We start from the raw sequence: 21,622 nt of genomic DNA, 5'->3' as shown, positions 1-21,622 counted from the left end.
TGAAGTATGATTTTTATATAGCTCTCAGTAATGCTTATAGTGTTTAACTGCCTGAAATATTAAAGGAGCTGTTCATTGGTGATTAGTTTTTAATAATGCCAAACATAAATCAAAATTTATAATAAAAGCACATTAACTTAATGACATTTCATTTAACTTCTGTAGACATGAAAAAACTGCTTCGTAACATGTGAAGTCCAGATCCAAGGGAACCTCAGAAATCCATTGAAGTTCCATTGTTAAGAAGTTCTGTTTGTTTGGCAACTGCTTTAAACCCGATAGAACAAGATCAGAAGTGGCAGTCTATAACTGAGTAAGTTTACTCTTACGGAGGTAAATGTACATTGTGTATATCATGTGATAAACATACATGGGGTGAAGAGGGCTGGAAGGAGAGTTACTAGATTACTAAATACTAGTGCTAATAGCTTCATTTTAGTTGTAGAAGTCATATGATATATGAATGCTGCTTGCCAACAAAAACTGAGGTTGAAATGAAATAAAATGTAAAAATCCCCAAAAGCAAATGTCTTGACTTGCTGATACCATTTTATTATAGAGCAGGCTGCTCCTCTTACTGCCCCCTAACTTTGGATGTCAATTTGATAGCATCTTATCAATTGCTTTATTCTTTGAGTGGTTATGAATTGTAATTTTTATTAATTGACAGTAAATATTTTGTTTCAGAAATGTGGTAAAGTACTTGAAGCAAACATCCCGCATCGCTATTGGACCTCTGAGACTTTCTACTTTAACAGTTTCACAGTCTTTGCCAGTTCTAAGTACCTTGCAGCTGTATTGCTCGTCTGCTTTGGAGACCACAGTTTCTAACAGACTTTCAACAGAGGTCTGTATATTTTTACAAGCACACTCTTATGACTATTAATGGTCATTACTGTAGAACAAAGACCTTATTTTTTGAGTTTTTTGGAATAGGATTTGTAGTTGGGCAAGCTGGTAAATCCAGAAATCTAACATGCTGTTTTCAGGCAGTCTTTCATTTGGGAAGTACATGGGGCAGATGGAAGAACCTGAGATAATCGCAAGGATGGCAAATTGCTCAGTTTTTTCTTCTATTTTTGGGGTGGGAGGTGGTGTATGTAAAGACAGTTCCTTTAGGCAGATCACGTAAATTTTAGATTTGCTGCAAACAAAGATCTCTCCTCTTCATCCTAAATGGGGTAAAGTTCGACCAGAGATGGGGGCTTCTGAATGAATGGTGATCTTCGAGAACTTCATAATAAAGCATTAGTTGTAATGTTTTTCTGCAGTCTGCTTTATAGTAAATGTGCTGTGACTTTTTTTTTTGTAATGTGCTTTATTAAGTATATTGATAAATTAGACTTAATATTCTGAAGAAGATTTCCCTTCAAAACAAAAGGCTTTCTCTTACTGTGTGCTTGCCTCTTGTGAGTAGAAGATAAATGATGTAAGGGTATAGTGTAATAGATAAAACTACTGCAATCAATCTGAAGTAGCCAAACTATATTGCAGTCTTGGACTTAAGACTTGCTATATATCTGCAAACATATCAACAGCCTGTTTTACGTTGAGTAATTTTGGTTTTTCTCTGGCAGGACTGTCTTATTCCACTCTTCGGCGAAGCTTTACGTTCATGTAAACAGCATGACGTGAGGCCGTGGATGCAGGCATTAAGGTATACTGTGTACCAGAATCAGTTGTTGGAGAAAATTAAAGTTAAGTGGTTTTCCTTTTTTTTTTTTGTAAGAGAAAATTAAAGGTGGTTTTTTTTTTTAAATTTTGCTTTATTGAGGTTTATATTACACATTCTAAGTGTATGGTTTGATGAGTTCTAACATGTCTTCACTTGTGTGACCACCAATACGATCGAGATAGAGAACAGCGTCTTACCCCAGAAGGTTCCCTTGGGATCATCTCCTCATTTGCCCCTGTCAGCAGTTACTGATTTGCTTTCTGTCACTATGGATTAGACTTGTCTTTACTAAAGTTTCATGTACGTGAAATCATAACAACATGTTCTCTTGTGTTTGGCTTCTCTTGCTCAGCATGATATTTTTACGGTTCACCCATATTGCATGTATCAGGAATATAATCCTTTTTATTATTGAGTAGTGTTCTATTGTATGTATTTACCACAGTTTATTTCTCCCTTCATCCTTTGCTAGATTTTGGGGTTTTTTCACATTGCGCTATTCAGTATAAACCTGCTCTCAACATTCATGTGCAAGTCTTTGAGTGGACATATATTTGCGTTTCTCTTGAGTGAATGCACCTTGTTGGGTCACGTGGCTTAACTTAAAAAAATTTTAATCACTGTGGTGCATATGTAGTGATTATTAGTGATTATCTCATAATTTTATTTTCTTGTTTAATGATGTTGAGTGTATTTCATTTGTATTTTAGTTTGCAAATGTTTGTTCAAATTCTTCACCTGTTTTTAATGAAGACGTACGACTTATTTTTGTGTTCTGAACATAAGTTCTTTGTCACATAAAATGTGCTATGAATGTTGAGTTTTAAATACTCCAAATGAATGGCTAGAGAATTACTATTTGTAGAAATATTTATATGTCAAAGGGATGCTAACAATTTACTTTATTGCTCTAAAATAGAAAAGTTGCCAGAATGCTGTGGAGTTTTAGTGGAAAACATGATAGCTGGTGTTACTGAGTAAATTTGAGTGTTAAATGTCAATGTAAGCTAACGGCCAAGATAGGGACCACTGCAGGGTGGTTACTTGCAGCTGTGACTCAACTGGTCCTTCACTGCCAAACATACCTGGGGTTGGATCATTGGCCTGACGTTTGCAAATTGAGGAACCTTAGGGCAAATCAATGAACTTCTGAACTGCCTTCGTCTTCAGTTATATGGGGATTTCCCCACTTTTGAGGTACTTGTAAGGATTATATGAGATGAAGAGATGAGACAAGGTATATAAAAGTCCTAGCACAGAGCGTGTCATATAATATGGCTTCACAAGTACCCTCATCTCCTTTCCAGTCGTTTTTTGTTTTTGTTTTTGTTTTTTTGAGACCATCTCACTCTGTTGCCCAGGCTGGAGTGCCTCTTCATTTTTATTTCTTTATTCAGCAAGTATTGATCAAATGTGCTTTGTACCAGGTACTGAGCTCTTCGTTGGGATATAATGGTGATCAAGGAGATTGTAGATTCTGGCAGGGAAAACTGACATCAAACACGGCGACCCGACATAGTGAGACCCTGTCTCTACTAGAAGAACTTTAAAAATCACCTAGGTGTGGGCCGGGCACGGTGGCTAACGCCTGTAATCCCAGCACTTTGAGATGCTGAGGCAGGTGGATCACGAGGTCAGGAGATCGAGACCATCCTGGATAACACGGAGAAACCCCGTCTCTACTAAAAATACAAAAAAATTAGCCGGGCGTGGGGGCGGGCATCTGTAGTCCCAATTACTCGGGAGGCTGCAGCAGGAGAATGGCATGAACCCGGGAGGCGGATCTTGCATTGAGCCAAGATCACGCCACTGCACTCCAGCCTGGGCGACAGAATGAGACTCCATCTCAAAAAAAAAGAAGAAACCAAGGATATAGAATAAAACAAGAGTGTAGATTTGGGCATTGAGGCCTTCAAATTGGATTGTTCTCAATGTCCAGAAGAAAAAAAAAATTTAGAAGAGACCCAAATCAGAAAACAAAAGTTGGGCTGAATTCAATGCGAATTATTTTCTAGCTCAATATTAATACTGCTTATGTCAGCTGAATTTCAGCCTTTCAATAACAGCTAGTCAAGTATTTTTTTAGTTGGTTCCTATTGATCGTCATCTTATTTTAGTGGAATCCATTATATTGAAGATGTCAAGTTCCTCATTTCCCATACAAAGAATGTGAGATTCATCTTTCTTGAATCTTTGCTAAGTGTTGAAGGGGACTTTTGGCATCTTTTCAGGAGGACTATAATTGGGCCCTCTAACTAAAAAGTCTCCTATGCCCCTTAGATAGATGAGATTTTTTTTTTTGACCTTGTACCCACCAACATTGGTGGGAGGCTCAGAAGGGACTGTGTTTGTAACTTTGTAGCACTTTCTAAACAGTGACCTGTTGTATGGGCATTATAGGACAGTCCGTGGGGTGGGGCGGGGGATGGGGGAGATGGACAAATGAGGTCTGGTTTAAAGAATGAGAAGTGTGACCAGGCATGGTGACTCATGCCTGTAATCCAGCACTTTGGGATGCTGAGGCAGGAGGATCACTTGAGCCCAGGAGTTTGAGGTTACAGTAAGCTATGATTGTGCCACTGGGCTCCAGCCTGGGTGACAGAACTAGACCCTGTCTCTAAAAAAAGAAGAAGAGGTGTGTATCCTTCTAAATGATAAAACAGATCACTCCCCTGCTTACATAAAACTTTCCGGTGGCTGGCCAGGCACGGTGGCTCACGACTGTAATCCCAGCACTTTGGGAGGCCGTGGTGGGCAGATCACGAGGTCAGGAAATCGAGACCATCCTGGCTAACGTGGTGAAATCTTGTCTCTACTAAAAACACAAAAAATTAACCCAGGTATGGTGGCATGCACCTGTAGTCCCAGCTACTCGGGAGGCTGAGGCAGGAGAATCGCTTGAACCAGGGAGGTGGAGGTTGCAGTGAGCTGAGATTGCGCCACTGCACTCCAGCCTGGGTGACAGAGACTCTGTCTCAAAAAAAAAAAAAAAAAAGAAAAAGAAAAATTAGATGGGTGTGGTGGCATGTGCCTGTAATCCCAGCTACTGGGGAGCCTGAGGCAGGAGAATCGCTTGAACCTGGGAGGCAGAGGTTACAGTGAGCCAAGATTGCACCACTGCAGTCTGCCTGGGTCACAGAGCTAGACTCTGTCTCAAAAACAGAAAAACAAAAAAACAACTTTCCAGTGGCTTCTCACTGCTCTGAGAATAAACTCCAGGCTCTTCCATTGCAACCAACAGGATCTGGTGATTCGACCCCAGCCCCTCTTTCCAGGCCCTCATCACCTTGATCCTCCCTTAACCTATCCTGCTCCAGCTGCACTGGCTGCCTTCCTATTCCTCCAGCATACCAAGATTGTTTCTGCCACAGGGCCTTTGCATCTGCTGTTCTCTTCGCCTGGACACCTCTTGGTTCTTTTTTTTTTTTTTCTTTGAGATGGAGTCTCACTCTGTCGCCCAGGCTGAAGTGCAGTGGCGCGATCTCGGCTCACTGCAAGCTCCGTCTCCCAGGTTCATGCCATTCTCCTGCCTCAGCCTTCCGAGTAGCTGGGACTACAGGCATCCGCCACCACGCCCGGCTAATTTTTTTGTATTTTTAGTAGAGACGGTTTCACCGTCTTAGCCAGGATGGTCTCGATCTCCTGACCTCGTGATCCGCCCGCCTGGGCCTCCCAAAGTGCTGGGATTACAGGTGTGAGCCACCGTACCCGGCCATAGAGCAGCCTCTTCCTTTTCCTGTTGGGTCTCTGCTCAGATGTCATGTCAGAGAGGCAGACCTCTGGGGCGGTCTATCTGAGGGAATGCACCCATCTCCCTTCCTCTGACCAGTTAGTTACCTTGCTTATTCTTTCAAAGCTCTTACCACCACCTGAAGTCATCTATCTGGTTTGGTTATTTTATTGTTTAGTAGCAGTCTTTATTTTATTATTATTATTATTTTTTGATGGAGTCTCACTCTGTTGCCCAGGCTGGAGTGCAGTAGCATGATCTCGGCTCACCAGAACCTCTGCCTCCCAGGTTCAAGCGATTCTCCTGCCTTAGCTTCCTGAGTAGCTGGGACTACAGGCACGTGCCACCATGCCCAGCTGATTTTTGTACTTTTAGTAGAAACGGGGTTTCACTATGTTGGCTGGTCTTGAACTCCTGACATCAAGTGATCCGCCCACCTCGGCCTCCCAAAGTACTGGGATTACAGGCATGAGCCACCACGCCAGGCTGGTAGCAGTCTTTCCTAGAATGTGGATGCCTTGGAAAACAGGGGCTCTGCCTTGTTTCCCTAGAACCTAGAATGGCATCTGGCACACAGCAGATGCTACATCTATTGTAAATGAATGAATGAAAGAAGTGTCCTTGCAGCCACACTGGCAGCCGTAACATAGTGGTTATAAATCTAGACTCTGGAGTCTCAAGTGCAAATGTCATTGGCCTCTCCTCCAGCCTCCTCAAGGGGCACTCAATGACTGGAAGCGCCCTGATATGACTGTGGTTGGACTGACATGACTGCCAGATGGTGGGACTTGGTCTGGAGCAGAGACTACTTGGAATGGTAGAGGCAAAACTCAACAGCCCCTGGAGCTGCGCTTGTGGTGGAGCTGGACCCTGATTTTAGCTGGACCTTGTTTTTAGAGACAGGGTTTCCTTCTGCAGTCTCAATCTCCTAGCCTTGATTGATCCTCCTGCCTTGGCCTCCCAAAGTGCTGGGACTACAGGTGCATGCAACCACACCTGGCTAATTTTCTTCTCTTCTTTCTTTTTTTTTTTTTTTTTGATGGAGTCTTGTTCTGTTGCCCAGGCTGGAGTGCAATGGTGCCATCTCGGCTCACTGCAACCTCTGCCTCCCGGGTTCAATCCATTCTCCTGCCTCAGCCTCCCAAGTAGCTGGGACTACAGGTGTGTGCCACCGTGCCTGGCTAATTTTTGTATTTTTAGTAGGGATGAGACTTCACCATGTTGGCCAGGCTGGTCTCGACCTCCTGACCTCAGGTGATCCACCCACCTTGGCCTCCCAAAGTGCTGGGACTACAGGCACATGCAACCACGTCTGGCTAATTTTCTTGAGTTTTAGTAGAGACTGGGTCTCGTTATGTTGTCCAGGCTGGTCCCGAGCTCCTGAGTTCAATCGATCTTCCTGCCTTGGTCTCCCAAAGTGCTGGGCCTACAGGCATGAGCCACCATCCCCAGCCCAATTTTTGTATATTTTGTAGAGACACAGTCTTGCTATGTTGTCCAGGCTGGTCTCAAACTCCTGGGCTCAAGGGATCTTCTTGCCTTGGCCTCCCGGAGCACTTAATTACAGGAATGACTGCATGTGCTGTTGTGCCTATACTTTCTGGAGATACGTTGTTAGGAATTTATGTAGTTGGCCGGGCACGGTGGCTCACGCCTGTAATCCCAGCACTCTGGGATGCCGAGGCAGGTGGATCACCTGAGGTCAGGAGTTCGAGACCAGCCTGGTCAACATGGTGAAACCCTGTCTCTACTAATAATACTAAAATCAGAGGTTGCTTGCAGTGAGCCAAGATCATACCATTGCACTGCAGCCTGGGCAACAGAGCGAGACTCTGTCTCAAAAAAAAAAAAAAAGGAATTTACATAGTTGAACAACTATTCTTTGGACATCTTTTAGTCCAGTAGACGGTGTTAAACTTGAAGACAAATAACGATTTGACCTGTGATATTTGTTTTTCCCTCTTATCTTCTAAGCCCATTCATCCAGATCATTCATCACCTTTAAAGGCATCCCCAGAGGGAGGCAGGTCTGGACAGAGCTGAAGATTGCACAGGCCATTTGCAGGCTGGATTAGTTCTGTGGTGACCCACCTGTCTGACTCGAGTTATTTTTTTCCCATGTCTGGACAAGACTGACCTCTGCCCAGCAACTCAGGCCTGGATTTAGTCCAAGGGCCCTCAGTGGCTTGTTTGTTTGTTTTTTCAGGAAGTGAAGAATTTAGAGGGATAAAAGGCGGAAATAACTTTTCAGCCTCTGACCTTTGTAACAATCTAGTTTCCTTTTAAAGGAGCATTGTTTGGGCCTGGGGCCACCTAGACCTTCTGATGCTCTTTCCCCACCCTTGGAGGAGGAGGAAAGGAAGAAAATGGGCCCTGAGCGATCACCACATACCAGGCCCTGGGGGTCTAGTGGCGAAGGAGGCAGGTAGGGTCTCTTGCTTTCATGGAGCTTCTAGTCAAGCGAGACGCACTAAACAGTAAAGGGACAAATAGGATTACTGGAGGTAGCCCTAACTACTGGGACAGAAACAAGATGGTAAGATAGAGAAGGAAGAGTGGCCTGCTCAGATGGGGTGGTCCAGAGGCCTCTCGGGGGAGGTGACTCCTTTTTATTTTATTTTTTTTGAGATGGAATCTAGCTCTGTCGCCCAGCCTGAAGTGCAGTCGTGTGTTTCATGCGCGTCCGTGTGAAGAGACCACCAAACAGGCTTTGTGTGAGCAACATGGCTGTTTATTTCACCTGGGTGCAGGCGGGCTGAGTCCGAAAAGAGAGTCAGCAAAGGGTGGTGGATTATCATTAGTTCTTACAGGTTTTGGGATAGGGGGTGAAGAGCCATGTTTTGCAGGCAGGGGTGGATCTCACAAAGTACATTCTCAAGGGTGGGGAGAATTACAAAGAACCTTCTTAAGGGTTGGGGAGATTACAAAGTACCTTCTTAAGGGTGGGGGAGATTACAAAGTACATTGAAGAGTTAGGGTGGGGCAGAAACAAATCACAATGGTGGAATGTCATCAGTTAAGGCTATTTTTACTTCTTGTGTGGATCTTCAGTTACTTCAGGCCATCTGGATGTATACGTGCAAGTCACAGGGGATGCAATGGCTTGGCTTGGGCTCAGAGGCCTGACAGTGTGATCTTGGCTCACTGCAAACTCTGCCTCCTGGGTTCAAGCAATTTTTGTGCCTCAGCTTCCCGAGTAGCTGGGATTACAGGTGCCCGCCACCATGCCCAGCTAATTTTTGTATTTTTAGTAGAGACATAGAGTTTCACCAGATTGGCCAGGCTGGTCTCGAACTCCTGTCTCACGTGTCTGTGTGAAGAGACCACCAAACATGCTTTGTGTGAGCAACATGGCTGTTTATTTCACCTGGGTGCAGGCGGGCTGAGTCCGAAAAAGGAGTCAACAAAGGGTGGTGTGATTATCACTGGTTCTTATAGATTTGGGGATAGGCGGTGGAGTTAAGAGCAGTGTTTTGGGGGCAGGAGGTGGATCTCATAAAGTACATTGTCAAAGGTGAGGAGAATTACAAAGAAACTTCTTAAGGGTGGGGGAGATGATAAAGAACCTTCTTAAGAGTGGGGCAGATTACAAAGTACATTGATCAGTTAGGGTGGGGCAGAAACAAATGACAATGGTGGAATGTCTTCAGTTAAGGCTGTTTTCACTTCTGTGGATCTTCAGTTGCTTCAGGCCATCTGGATGTATACGTGCAGGTCACTGGGATATGATGGCTTAGCTTGGACTCAGAGGCCTGACATTCCTGTCTTCTTATGTTAATAAGAAAAATAAAACAAAATAGTGGTAAAGTGTTGGGGTGGCGAAAATTTTTGGGGGTGATATGGAGAGATAATGGGCGATGTTTCTCAGGGCTGCTTCGAGTGGGATTAGGGGCGGCATGGGAACCTACAGTGGGAGAGATTCAACTGAAGAAAGATTTTGGGGTAAGGGCTGATACTGTGGGGTTGTTAGAAGGAGCATTTGTCATATAGAATTATTGGTGATGGCCTGAATATGGTTTTGTATGAATTGAGAAACTAAACAGAAGACACACGGTCCGAATAAGAGAAGGAGAAAAACAGGTATTAAAGGACTAAGAATTGGGAGGACCCAGGACATCCAATTAAGAGAGTGCCCAAGGGGGTTCAGCATAATTATTTGCTTGGTTGGCAAGTTTTTGGACTCTATCCTTGAGTTTTTTTATGTTGTCATATACCAGGCCAGATTGATTTAGGTAAAAACAACACTCTTCATTTAAAAATATACAGAGTCGTCCTTTTTCAGCAATGAGTAAATTGAGGCCTTGGCGATTTTGGAGGAAAGAGAATTGCAAAGCCAGCAATTGTTTCTTTTTTTATTTATTTATTTACTTATTTTTTTAAATTATACTTTAAGTTATAGGGTACATGTACACAATGTGCAGGTTTGTTACATATGTATACATGTGCCATGTTGGTGTACTGCACCCATTAACTCGTCATTTACATTAGGTGTATCTCCTACTGCTATCCCTTCCCCCTCCCCCACCACACAAGAGGCCCCAGTGTGTGATGTTCCCCTTCCTGTGTCCAAGTGTTCTCATTGTTCAATTCCCATCTGTGAGTGAGAACATGCGGTGTTTGGTTTTTTGTCCTTGTGATAGTTTGCTGAGAGTGATCGTTTCCAGCTTCATCCATGTCTCTACAAAGGACATGAACTCATCCTTTTTTATGGCTGCATAGTACTCCATGGTGTATCTGTGCCACATTTTCTTAATCCAGTCTATCATTGATGGACATTTGTGTTGGTTCCAAGTCTTCACTATCGTGAATATTGCCGCGATAAACATACGTGTGCATGTGTCTTTATAGCAGCATGATTTATAATCCTTTGGGTATGTATCCAGTAATGGGATGGCTGGGTCAAATGGTATTTCTAGTTCTAGATCCCTGAGGAATCGCCACACTGTCTTCCACAATGGTTGAACCAGTTTACAGTCCCACCAACAGTGTAAAAGTGTTCCTATTTCTCCACATCCTCTCCAGCACCTGTTGTTTCCTGACTTTTTAATGATCGCCATTCTAACTGGTGTGAGATGATATCTCATTGCGGTTTTGATTTGCATTTCTCTGATGGCCAGTGATGATGAGCATTTTTTCATGTGTCTGTTGGCTGCATAAATGTCTTCTTTTGAGAAGTGTCTGTTCATATGCTTTGCCCACTTTTTGATGGGGTTTGTTTTTTTTCTTGTAAATTTGTTGGTGTTCTTTGTAGATTCTGGATATTAGCCTTTTGTCAGATAAGTAGATGGCAAAAATTTTCTCCCATTCTCTAGGTTGCCTGTTCACACTGATCCTAGTTTCTTTTGCTGTGCAGAAGCTCTTTAGTTTAATTAGATCCCATTTGTCAGTTTTGGCTTCTGTTGCCATTGCTTTTGGTGTTTTAGACATGAAGTCCTTGCCCATCCCTATGTCCTGAATGGTATTGCCTAGGTTTTCTTCTAGGGTTTTTACGGCTTTAGGTCTAACATTTAAGTCTTTAATCCATCTTGAATTAATTTTTGTATAAGGTGTAAGGAAGGGATCCAGTTTCAGCTTTCTACATAGGGCTAGCCAGTTTTCCCAGCACTATTTATTAAGTAGGGAATCCTTTCCGCATTTCTTGTTTTTGTCAGGTTTGTCAAAGATCAGATGGTTGTAGATGTGTGGTATTATTTCTGAGGGCTCTGTTCTGTTCCATTGGTCTATATGTCTGTTTTGGTACCAGTACCAGGCTGTTTTGGTTACTGTAGCCTTGTAGTATAGTTTGAAGTCAGGTAGCATGATGCCTCCAGCTTTGTTCATTGGGCTTAGGATTGTCTTGGCAATGCGGGCTCTTTTTTGGTTCCATATGAACATTAAAGTAGTCTTTTGCAACTCTCATCAGCCCAGTTTAATATTACCTATTTATTATAATGTAATGCTGCTCGCACAACTGAGAAAATACTGTTGCTTTACCCCCTCCAGCTCTGTAGCAGCCACGCAGAAATCATAGAACTGTAAACATATGCTAATTACACAACCTATGTAGGCAATCAATATTAAGAAAAATTTTTACTGCCCGGTATTTCTGTGGTTGAAAATGTAGAGTCTAATTTTGATCCGCAGTAACATCTAGGTTAATGTTGATTCAGAAGGAAAACGTTTGTTGTTGCCATGAGAAGAGGCATTGAAATGCTGAATCACCACCACAAATGTTACCACTATTAATATAAGGAGATACATAGGAAGATGGAATTAGACCATCTCGGACCACCAGGTTTACAATTCCACCTGCAGATACATGCAAGAAGTATTGTCACAATACTTATGTCACGTTATTCCGTTGAGGTCATCACCAACTAAGCTTATAATTAATGTGTGGTCAATTTGGTCAATGTCACCAGCGTAGCATACTAACAAAAACAAGGGTTGCAAAGTCAAATGCCTATAAGGCAGAACGTAAGACGGTAGGAAGCAAAGTCTATAGGGAGCTATATAATAGAGGCTGCAGATTCATGGCAGATTCTAAAGCACAGCAGTCCCCAACATTTTTGGCACCAGGGACCGGCTTTGTGGAAGACAATTTTTCCACAGGCGGCAAGGGATGGGGCGCAGGATGGTAATGGTCTTGGGATGAAACTGTTCCACCACAAATCATCAGGAATTAGATTCTCATAAGGAATATGCAACCTGGATCCCTCGTGTGTGCAATTCACAACAGGGTTCATGCTCCTGTAAGAATCTAATGATGCTGCTGATCTGACAGGAGGCAGAGCTCAGGCAGCAATGCAAGCAATGGGGAGCAGCCAGAAATACAGACGAAGCTTCAGTTGTTACCCACCATTCACCTCCTGCTCTGTGGCCCAGTTCCTAACAGGCCACAGACCAGTACATGTCCATGGCCCAGGGGTCAGGGACCCCTGCTGTGGCACATTGCTTAATAGAGGACTGTAGCAGCCATGTGCCCTGACCTTTCCTTTTTTTTTTTTTTTTTTTTTTTTTTGAGATGCCAGAAACCCAGAATTTTTTTTTTTTTTTTTTTTTTTTTTTAAGACAAGGTCTGGCTCTGTTGCCCAGGTTGGAGTGTAGGAGGGCGATCTCAGCTCACTGTAACATCAACCTCCCAGGCTCAAGCAATCCTCTCACTTCAGCCTCCCACGTTGCTGGGATTACAGGCACACTCCACTACACCCAGCTAATTTTTTTGTATTATTTGTAGACATGGGGTTTCGCCACGTTGCCCAGGCTAGTCTGGAATTCCTGAGGTCAAGCTGTCTGCCCATCTCAGCCTCCCAAAGTGCTGGGATTGCAGGAGTGCACCACCACACCTGGCCTGAAACCCAGATTTTATTTATTTATTTATTCATTTTTTGAGATGGAGTCTTGCTCTATTGCCTAAGCTTGAGTGCAGTGGCGCGATCTTGGCTCACTGCAACCTCCACCTCCCTGGTTCAAGCGATTCTCCTGCCTCAGCCTCCCAAAGTGCTGGGATTACAGGCATGCAACACCACACCCAGCCTGAAACCCAGATTTTTAATATGAAATCAAAGTCTTCAGACCTTGTAGGTGTCATAAAAAGCACGCTGAGGACCACTAGTTTGCAACTGCCAATCTAAAATATCATAGACATTATATCACTTCAACCACGAAAAAAAAAGTATGTGAGGCAGAAAATGGAAGCAACCATGCCTAATTTATTGTTGAATACTTTTTCCGTATACCAAGAGCTTCCTTTGCACTAGCATCTGAAACTATATCCAGAATGACACTGGTTTTCATAAAAGTGTTGATCCTCACACCTCTTTATAGTCTTGCACCTAGCACAGTGGAGTGAAACACTTTAAATAGCACTTGTTCCTTGAGTATATATGGAAAAAAGTGAAGTATTGATAAGTGCTCAGCTAATATGAGCAGCATCTCAGGAGTCTCCAATTCTTGAATTACCAGGGAGTATTTTTACCATTTTCCCCCAGTGAAAGGCCTATTTTGAGAGACTTACCCTCCAAAATGAATGTATTAAGTCATGTTCCTTTTTTTTTTTTTTTTTTGAGACAGGGCCTTGCTCTGTTGCCCAGGCTGGAGTGCAGTAGCATGATAGTTACAGGAAAGGGGTCCCAATCTAGACCCCAAGAGAGGGTTCTTGGATCTTGTGCAAGAAAGAATTCAGGGTGATGCCACAGTGTGAAGTGAAAGCAAGTTTATTAAGAAAGTAAAGGAGGAGGGGCACGGTGGCTCACTCCTGTAATCCCAGCACTTTGGGAGGCCGAGACAGGTGGATCACGAGGTCAGGAGATCAAGACCATCCTGGTTAACACGGTGAAACCTCATCTCTACTAAAAATACAAAAAAATTAGCCAAGTGTGGTGGCGGGTGCCTGTAGTCCCACCTACTCTGGAGGCTGAGGCAGGAGAATGGGATGAACCCGGGAGGCGAAGCTTGCAGTAAGCCGAGATCGCGCCACTGCACTCCAGCCTGGGTGACAGAGGGAGACTCCATCTCAAAAAAAAAAGAGAGAAAGTAAAGGAATAAAAGAATGGCTACCCCATAGACGGAGCAGCCGTGAGGGCTGCTGGTTGCCCATTTTTATGGTTATTTGTTGATGATATGCTAAACAAGGAGTGGATTTTTCATGCCTCCTCTTTTTAGACCATATAGGGTAACTTCTTGATGTTGCCGTGGCATTTGTAAACTGTCATGGTGCTGGTAGGAGTGTAGCAGGGAGGATGATGGGAGGTCAGTCTTGTCTCTATTTTGGTTTTGGTGGGTTTTGGCCAGCTCCTTCACTGCAACCTGTTTTATCAGCAAGGTCTTTATGACTGGTATTTTGTGCTGACCTTCTATGTCATCCTGTGACTTAGAATGCCTTAACCATCAGGGAATGCAGCCCAGTAGTTTCAGCCTCATTTTTCCCGGCTCCTATTTAAGATGGAGTTGCTCTGGTTCACACACCTCTGACATGATCATTGCCCACTGCGGCTTCCACCTCCCGGGTTCAAGAGATCCTCCTGCCTCACCCTCCCAAGGTGCTGGGACTACAGGTGTGTGCCACCAGCTCAGCTAATTTTTGTATTTTTTGTAGAGATGGTGTTTTTCCATGTTGCCCAGGCTGGTCTCAAACTCCTGGGCTCAAGCAATCCTTCTGTCTCAGCCTCCCAAAGTACTGGGATTACAGGCATGTCCCACCATGCCCAGACTAATATTTACTTTTAATCAGACTAAGATAGGGTTACTACTTGAGTTGCTATGGCTCCAGCTGAAAGAAAGCCCGTGCAGTCATATCACGCGTAAACATTTGCTTTATGCTAAAAATATGGTGGACCTGGCATTACAGCTATTACAAATCTCCTAAGATGTCTCGGGTAGTGTATTAGTTACTTTTCATACTGCTATGAAGAAATACTGGAAACTGGGTAATTTATAAAGAAAAAGAGGTTTAATGTACTCACAGTTCCACAAGGCTGGAGAGGCCTCAGAATCATGGTGGAAGGCAAAGAAGGAGCAAAAAGGTATGTCTTCCATGGCAGCAGGCAAGAGAGCACGTGCAGGGAAACTGCCCTTTATAAAACCATCAGATTTAGTGAGATGTATTCACTATCACGAGAACAGTATGGGAAAAACCTGCCCCCATGATTCGATTACCTCCTACCGGGTCCCTCCCACGACACATGGGGATTATGGGAACTACAATTCAAGATGAAATTTGGGTGGGGACGCAGCCAAACCATATCGGGTAGCAACAACCTAGGGTCAGTTTTGCAGGTGGTAAAGCCATTTACCAAGATAGTTGTGGGTAAAGAAGGGCAGATTTATTAGAGAAATTGTGAAAATATGTTGCAGTGGGCAGCTCAGCAGAGAAGGGGCTACCTGCAAAGAGGCAAGGGCTGGAGGAAAGTTTTATAGGGTCCTGCTGAAGGGTGCTACGTGTGGAATGAGGTCATTGTGCCCGCAGGTTGTTTGTGATTAGCTGTCTCTAACAATTGTTCATACAATAATTGTTCATTATTGTTCTCAACTTGGGGCTCTCCCCAACCTGGGGACCCTTCCTTATTGTTGCTTACTTATCAGGTCTCCACATAAAGGTGTGGAAACTTCATTCATTCATATCTTCAACACAAATTGTAGGTAGCCTGTTTTTTAAAACATTTATTCAACAAATATTTAGTCCAAGCCACTATTACTTACTACCTTCTCTACTATTGTATGGACTTTTAACTATCTCTGACACTATTCACTATTCTTCCACATTCTCTATTATTTATACCTATGGTAAAATTTGCCAGTTTGACCATACAACTAATACTCACAGGGAATATATAGAGTCTAGAAGAAAATATACAGGTCCTTAAAGGCTGCCCTGCCAACAAAACCATAACGCAGGAACAAACATCACAACTATGCCAAATAATCAATCCTACAATGTCCAAAATTTTACTTTAAAACTGGAATTACCAGACTTCCTTTCTGCATTAACCAGTTTAACTAGACAGTAACGAAATATTCCTACTTTATGCTGTGATAGTTTGTTTGTTTGTTTGTTTGTTTATTTATTTATTTATTTATTTAAGACAGAGTTTCGCTCTTGTTGCCCAGGCTGGAGTGCAGTGGCACGATCTCAGCTCACCACAACCTCCGCCTCCCAGGTTCAAGCGATTCTCCTGCCTCAGCCTCCCGAGTAGCTGGGATTACAGGCATGTACCACCACGCCCGGGTAATTTTGTATTTTTAGTAGAGACGGGGGGTTTCTCCATGTTGGTCAGGCTGGTCTAGAACTCCAGACCTCAGGTGATACCCCTGCCTCAGCCTCCCAATGTGCTGGGATTACAGCTGTGAAGCCACCGCGCCCGGCTGCTGTGATAGTTGAGATGTAAACCAAAAATAAAATTCTAAGCCACCCAATCCGACTGAATGGACCCTTCCTGTTGAGCAAGGACATTCCAAAGTAAACTGAAAAGACCAGCTTAGGCCATGATGGGAAGGGGAGGTGTCAACATGCCTCATTCTACCTTCCTCCCTCTGGAATCCAGACACAACTGACCAGCATTAACATTAAAACAGAGATCTTAAGCTGGGCACAGTGGCTCATGCCTGTAATCCCAGCACTTTGGGAGGCCAAGGTGGGATCACCTGAGGTCAGAAGTTCAAGACCAGCCTGGCCAGTATGGTGAAGCCATGTCTCTACTAAAAATACAAAATTAGCCGGACATTGTGGTGCACGTCTGTCATCCCAGCAAGGCAGGCGAATCACTTGAACCCAGGAAGCAGAGGTTGCAGTGAGCCAGGATCATGCCATTGCACTCCAGCCTGGTCAACAGAGCGAGACTCCGCCTCATTAAAAAAAAAAAAAAAAAAAAATTAGCCGGGCGTGGTGGCGGGCACATGTAGTCCCAGCTACTAGGGAGGCTGAGGCAGGAGAATGGTGTGAACCAGGGAGGCGGAGCTTGCAGTGAGCCGAGATTGTGCCACTGCACTCCAGCCTGGACAGAAGTGCATTTCATAATGCATTTTAATTGCATTAGCAGTGATTTAATTTTTTTAGATGCTAAAACTTATGGGTGAAAGTGGATTAAATGTAGCCAAATGCAACATCAAAATCTTCAGGCACAAAAACCCATTAACTTTTTCATACTCTCAGAAGGTGAACCTAATTTCAAATGAAAGCTGCCTCCAGAATATATTGTTAAGCGTATTCTAGATATAATTCATTTTGGCAAACATACTGTAGAAATTCACATAACATTTTACTGTACTAAAAGTAAATTGCCCATGTAACAAAAAATATCTTTTCAGAGCTTGAAATGAATTTTAAAGGATGACTGATGGTCCCTGGAAGAGAAACAGTAAACAAATAAGGTTTGTAGCAATGATGTATGAGTTAGAAATTGCAGTTCCAGATGATCTCTTTATTAAAGAGACGATCTACACTTAATTTGATCAAGTGTTATGAACATAGTTCATGTTAAGTCTCCATTTAAATACAACCTGAAATACCAAAGTTAATTTTCTTTTCTTTCTTTCTTTTTTTTTTTTTTTAGAAGGAGTCTTGCTCTGTTGCCCTTCCTGGAGTGCAGTGACGTGATCTTGGCTCACTGCAACCTCCACCTCCTGGGCTTGAGCGATCCTACTGCGTCAGCCCCCCAAGTAGCTGGGAGGACAGGCGCAAGCCACGGCACTCAGCTAATTTTTGTATTTTTCGTAGAGATAGGGTTTCACCATGTTGCCCAATTTGGTCTCGAACTCCTGAGCTCAAGTGATCCGCCCGCCTTGGCCTCCCAAAGTGCTGGGATTACAGGCATGAGCCACCGTGCCTGGCCAGAAAATTGTAAACACACACAAACTCTCAAGTGGCCTAATTCCCTCTCACCAAACCAATCACAATACAGATAAAAGAGAATAACTTGTGTTCATTTTTGTACAAACAAAAAAGATATAAATTGTGAATGATGCATGATTTTTAATTACAAGTAAACTGGGCAAATGCTTCTGCATTATTTAAAGCTAAAAGGTGATCAGTGGAAACTTTCCTCTGTTAGTACTCTAATACTTTTTATATTTATCGGCTCACTACAACCTGTGCCTACCAGGTTCAAGCGATTCTCCTGTCTCAGCCACCTGAGTAGCCGAGACCACAGGCACGCACTACCATGTCCGGCTAATTTTGTATTTTTAATAGAGACAGGGTTTCACCGTGTTGGCCATGCTGGTCTTGAACTCCTGACCTCAACCGATCCGCCTGCCTTGGCCTCCCAAAGTTCTGGGATTACAAGCGTGAGCCACAGCGCCCAGCCTTATTATAATTGTTACTATTTAAATCTCTTTTGCTCTCTCCTTCAAGAGAGACCTCATCCCATTCAGTTGCTTCCATTTATTTATTCATCTTCTGCCTCCTGGGCTCGAGAGATCCTCCAGCGTGAGTCTCCCAAGTAGCTGGGACTACAGGCTCACACCACCAAGCTTGGCTAAATTTTGTAGGTTTTGGAGAGACAGGCTCTTGCCACGTTGCCTAGGCTGGTCTCAAACTCCTGGGCTCAGATGATCCACCTGCCTTCGCCTCCCAAAGCACTGGGACATGAGCCACCACGCCCAGCCGCAAGTACTTTTACACAAAATGCAAACACCATTCTTCCATCATAAAAGTGATACCACAGCTTCCGTGAAGTTTTGCCAGGTAGTACTCATAATTACCTTGGGTAAACTTTTTGATGTTAAACTGTATCTTCTTATTACGAGTTTTTCCATTGTATTAACTGCTTTTACAACAACACAAATAACAAGTTATTTTACAAACCATTTAGAAATTTCTGTACTATGGTCCCAGTAATGTAAAATATATTAATGCCTATTACATTCAGATAAATTATACACTTGGAAACCACATACTTATGACTTACAGAAACTTACATAAACAAATTATAGAAATTACATGCTCAATTTTTAGGTATATAGTCTTAAATTAAGCTTAAATATACATTCTCAAGATAAATTAACAGTTCAGGGCTTCACAACTTGAAATCTGTGGAAGATGACATTGGAGACAACAGAACTCTGGTGGAATTCTTAGATGGAATTTGCCGAAACTTTTTTTTTTTTTTTTTTTTGAGATGGAGTGTCGCTCTGTCGCCCAGGCTGGAGTGCAGTGGCGCAATCTCAGCTCACTGCAAGCTCTGCCTCCCGGGTTCACGCCATTCTTCTGCCTCAGCCTCCCGAGTAGCTGGGACTACAGGCGCCCACCGCCACGCCCGGCTAATTTTTTATATTTTTAGTAGAGATGGGGTTTTACTATGTTAGCCAGGATGGTCTCGATCTCTTGACCTTGTGATCTACCCGCCTTGGCCTCCCAAAGTGAAACTTTTCTTTAAAATAGAGATGGGATCTTGCTGTATTGCCCAGGCTGGTCTCAGACTCCTTGCCTTAAGCAGTCCTCCCACCTCAGCCTCCTAAAGTGCTGGGATTACAAGCGTGAAGCATTACATCCAAGTGAAACTTCTTGAGATGGTTACATAATGTCTAAATCTGCTGGTGTAGAAGTTAATAAAGTGTAGAACTGAATAACTATTAAATATTAGATCAAGTTTCTCATGTTTATCTTAACGTATAACGATTTATCTTAAAGCACTGATTTTCACAAAATAACATCAGTGTGAAATTGGAAAAGAAGCCAAATATTTTATTTCATGTATCTGGGAAATGAGGTGCTTTAGTCAACTGAATCTGCCCAAAACTAAAAAGCATTAATTAAAAAGTACTTAACTCAGAAATTATAAAAATAGGAGACATCAATAAAATACATTCTACACAGAATACGCCAACCATACACTACTCTTTTTTGATAATAAAAAATGTATTTACTGAGCCAGTTGTGGTGGCTCACGCCTATAATCCCAGCACCTTGGAAGGCCAATGAGAGTGGATCAGTTGAGGCCAGGAGTTTGAGACCAGCCTGGCCAACATGGTGAAATGCCGTCTCTACTAAGAATACAAAAATGAGCCGGGCACGGTGGCACGCACCTGTAATCCCAGGTACTCCGAAGGATGAGGCAGGATAATTGTTTGAACTCAGGAGGTGGAGGTTGCAGTGAGCCAAAATCATGCCACTGCACTCCAGCCTGGGTGACAGAGTGAGTCTCTGTCTCAAAAAAAAAAAAAAAAAAAAGAAAAAAAGTCAGTTGCAGTGGCTCACGCCTGTAATCCCAGCACTTTGGGAGGCTGAGGCAGGCGGATTACAAGGTCAGGAGATCGAGACCACCCTGGCCAACATGGTGAAACCTCCTCTCTACTAAAAATGCAAAAATTAGGCTGGGCACGGTGGCTCACACCTGTAATCCCAGCACTTTGGGAGGCCGAGGCGCGGAGATCACGAGGTCAGGAGATTGAGACCATCCTGGCTAACACAGTGAAACCCTGTCTCTACTAAAAATACAAAAAATTAGCTGGATGTGGTGGCAGCACTTGTAGTCCCAGCTACTTGGGTGGCTGAGGCAGGAGAATGGCGTGAACCCGGGAGGCAGAGTTTGCAGTGAGCCGAGATCCCACCACTGCACTCCAGCTTAGGCGACAGAGCCAGACTGTGTCTCAAAAACAGGAAAGAAAACAAAAGAAAATTTGGACTATTGCCAATTACAAATATTTTTAGAGAAGAATTCAAAACAGTAACTGTGGATGATGGAAACAATAGTTATGATAAAAGTCTGATGAAACTTCCCAGTTCACAAGGAAATTTAATTACTTATGTGCAGCATTTTAAGACAGTAATCAGAATCATGACTGACAGCATCATATCAGGGCCAGCAGACTTTTATAAATTTCATACAATCTTCAGAAATAATAACTTTTTTTTTTTTTTTTGGATAGATTCTACCTTTGTCACCCAGGCGGGAGTGCAGTGGCATGATCTCGGCTCACTACAACCTCCGCATCCTGGGTTCAAGCAGTTCTCCTGTCTCAGCCTCCCGAGTAGCTGAGATTACAGGCATGTGCCACCAGGCATGGCTAATTTTTGTATTTTTAGTGGAGACAGGGTTTCACTCTATTAGGCTGGTCTGGAACTCCCGACCTCAGGTGATCCACGTGCCTTTGTCTCCCAAAGTGCTGGGATTACAGGCATGAGTGACAGTGCCCAGCCATTCGTGACATGTTTATACAAATATAACTTTAGCAAATATTTAGCATAACTATCAAAATTACAAATCATATTAAATTTGTATAAATGTATGCAATTTTTGGAACACGCATATCAACAACATACCCATAAATATAACTGAGATGAGATCTAATGTCACCTCACTTGACAGTGCCCTCCCATGCAGTATCGCCACATTTGACAATGCCTGCCCATTTAATCTACCAAATAAATCGAATCACTTAATACCTCTACAAGATGAGAGATACATTCTTTAGACTCCCCAAGGGATGCAGCTGAAAAAAATCCCAAAGTTAGTTTTAAGCCAAAAAGACTTGATTTAGGATTTTGACACTGGAGAAACCCATCAAAGATGTCAAGTTTGAAAACACTTGATCAAAACAGAATCACAGGTCACTATTAAAAGAGTATTAATTTAACCAGAGACTTCCAAAGCAATACAGAAACTTACATGGATATAAAAACCCTAACCCTTTTAAAGGTCAGATTTGCTAAGTGATCAAAAGGGGTACTTGAATTGAATCGACACAGGAAGAGTGTGTACAGGGTTATGAGTGTAGGCAGGTGGTTACTTTGGTCATAT

General features: G+C 43.1%; 1 pseudogene, besides 1 other annotated feature; it reads left to right on the top strand.

Moving 5' to 3' along the window:
- SMG1P4 (SMG1 pseudogene 4) overlaps positions 1-1,698 on the top strand; it is a 36,690-nt pseudogene extending 34,992 nt beyond the window's left edge.
- Positions 16,020-16,704: an enhancer, noted in NCBI's record as "H3K27ac hESC enhancer chr16:21875652-21876336 (GRCh37/hg19 assembly coordinates)". NCBI's record gives its function as "activates a minimal SCP1, AML or CMV promoter by ChIP-STARR-seq in primed H9 embryonic stem cells {active_cell/tissue: H9 hESC(primed)}" and the evidence as "EXISTENCE:reporter gene assay evidence [ECO:0000049][PMID:30033119]".

Source organism: Homo sapiens, chromosome 16, assembly GCF_000001405.40.
Source record: "Homo sapiens chromosome 16, GRCh38.p14 Primary Assembly".
Lineage (NCBI taxonomy): Eukaryota > Metazoa > Chordata > Mammalia > Primates > Hominidae > Homo > Homo sapiens.
The sequence above is the reverse complement of the archived record's forward strand: the minus strand, read 5'-3'. Positions and strand labels throughout refer to the sequence as shown.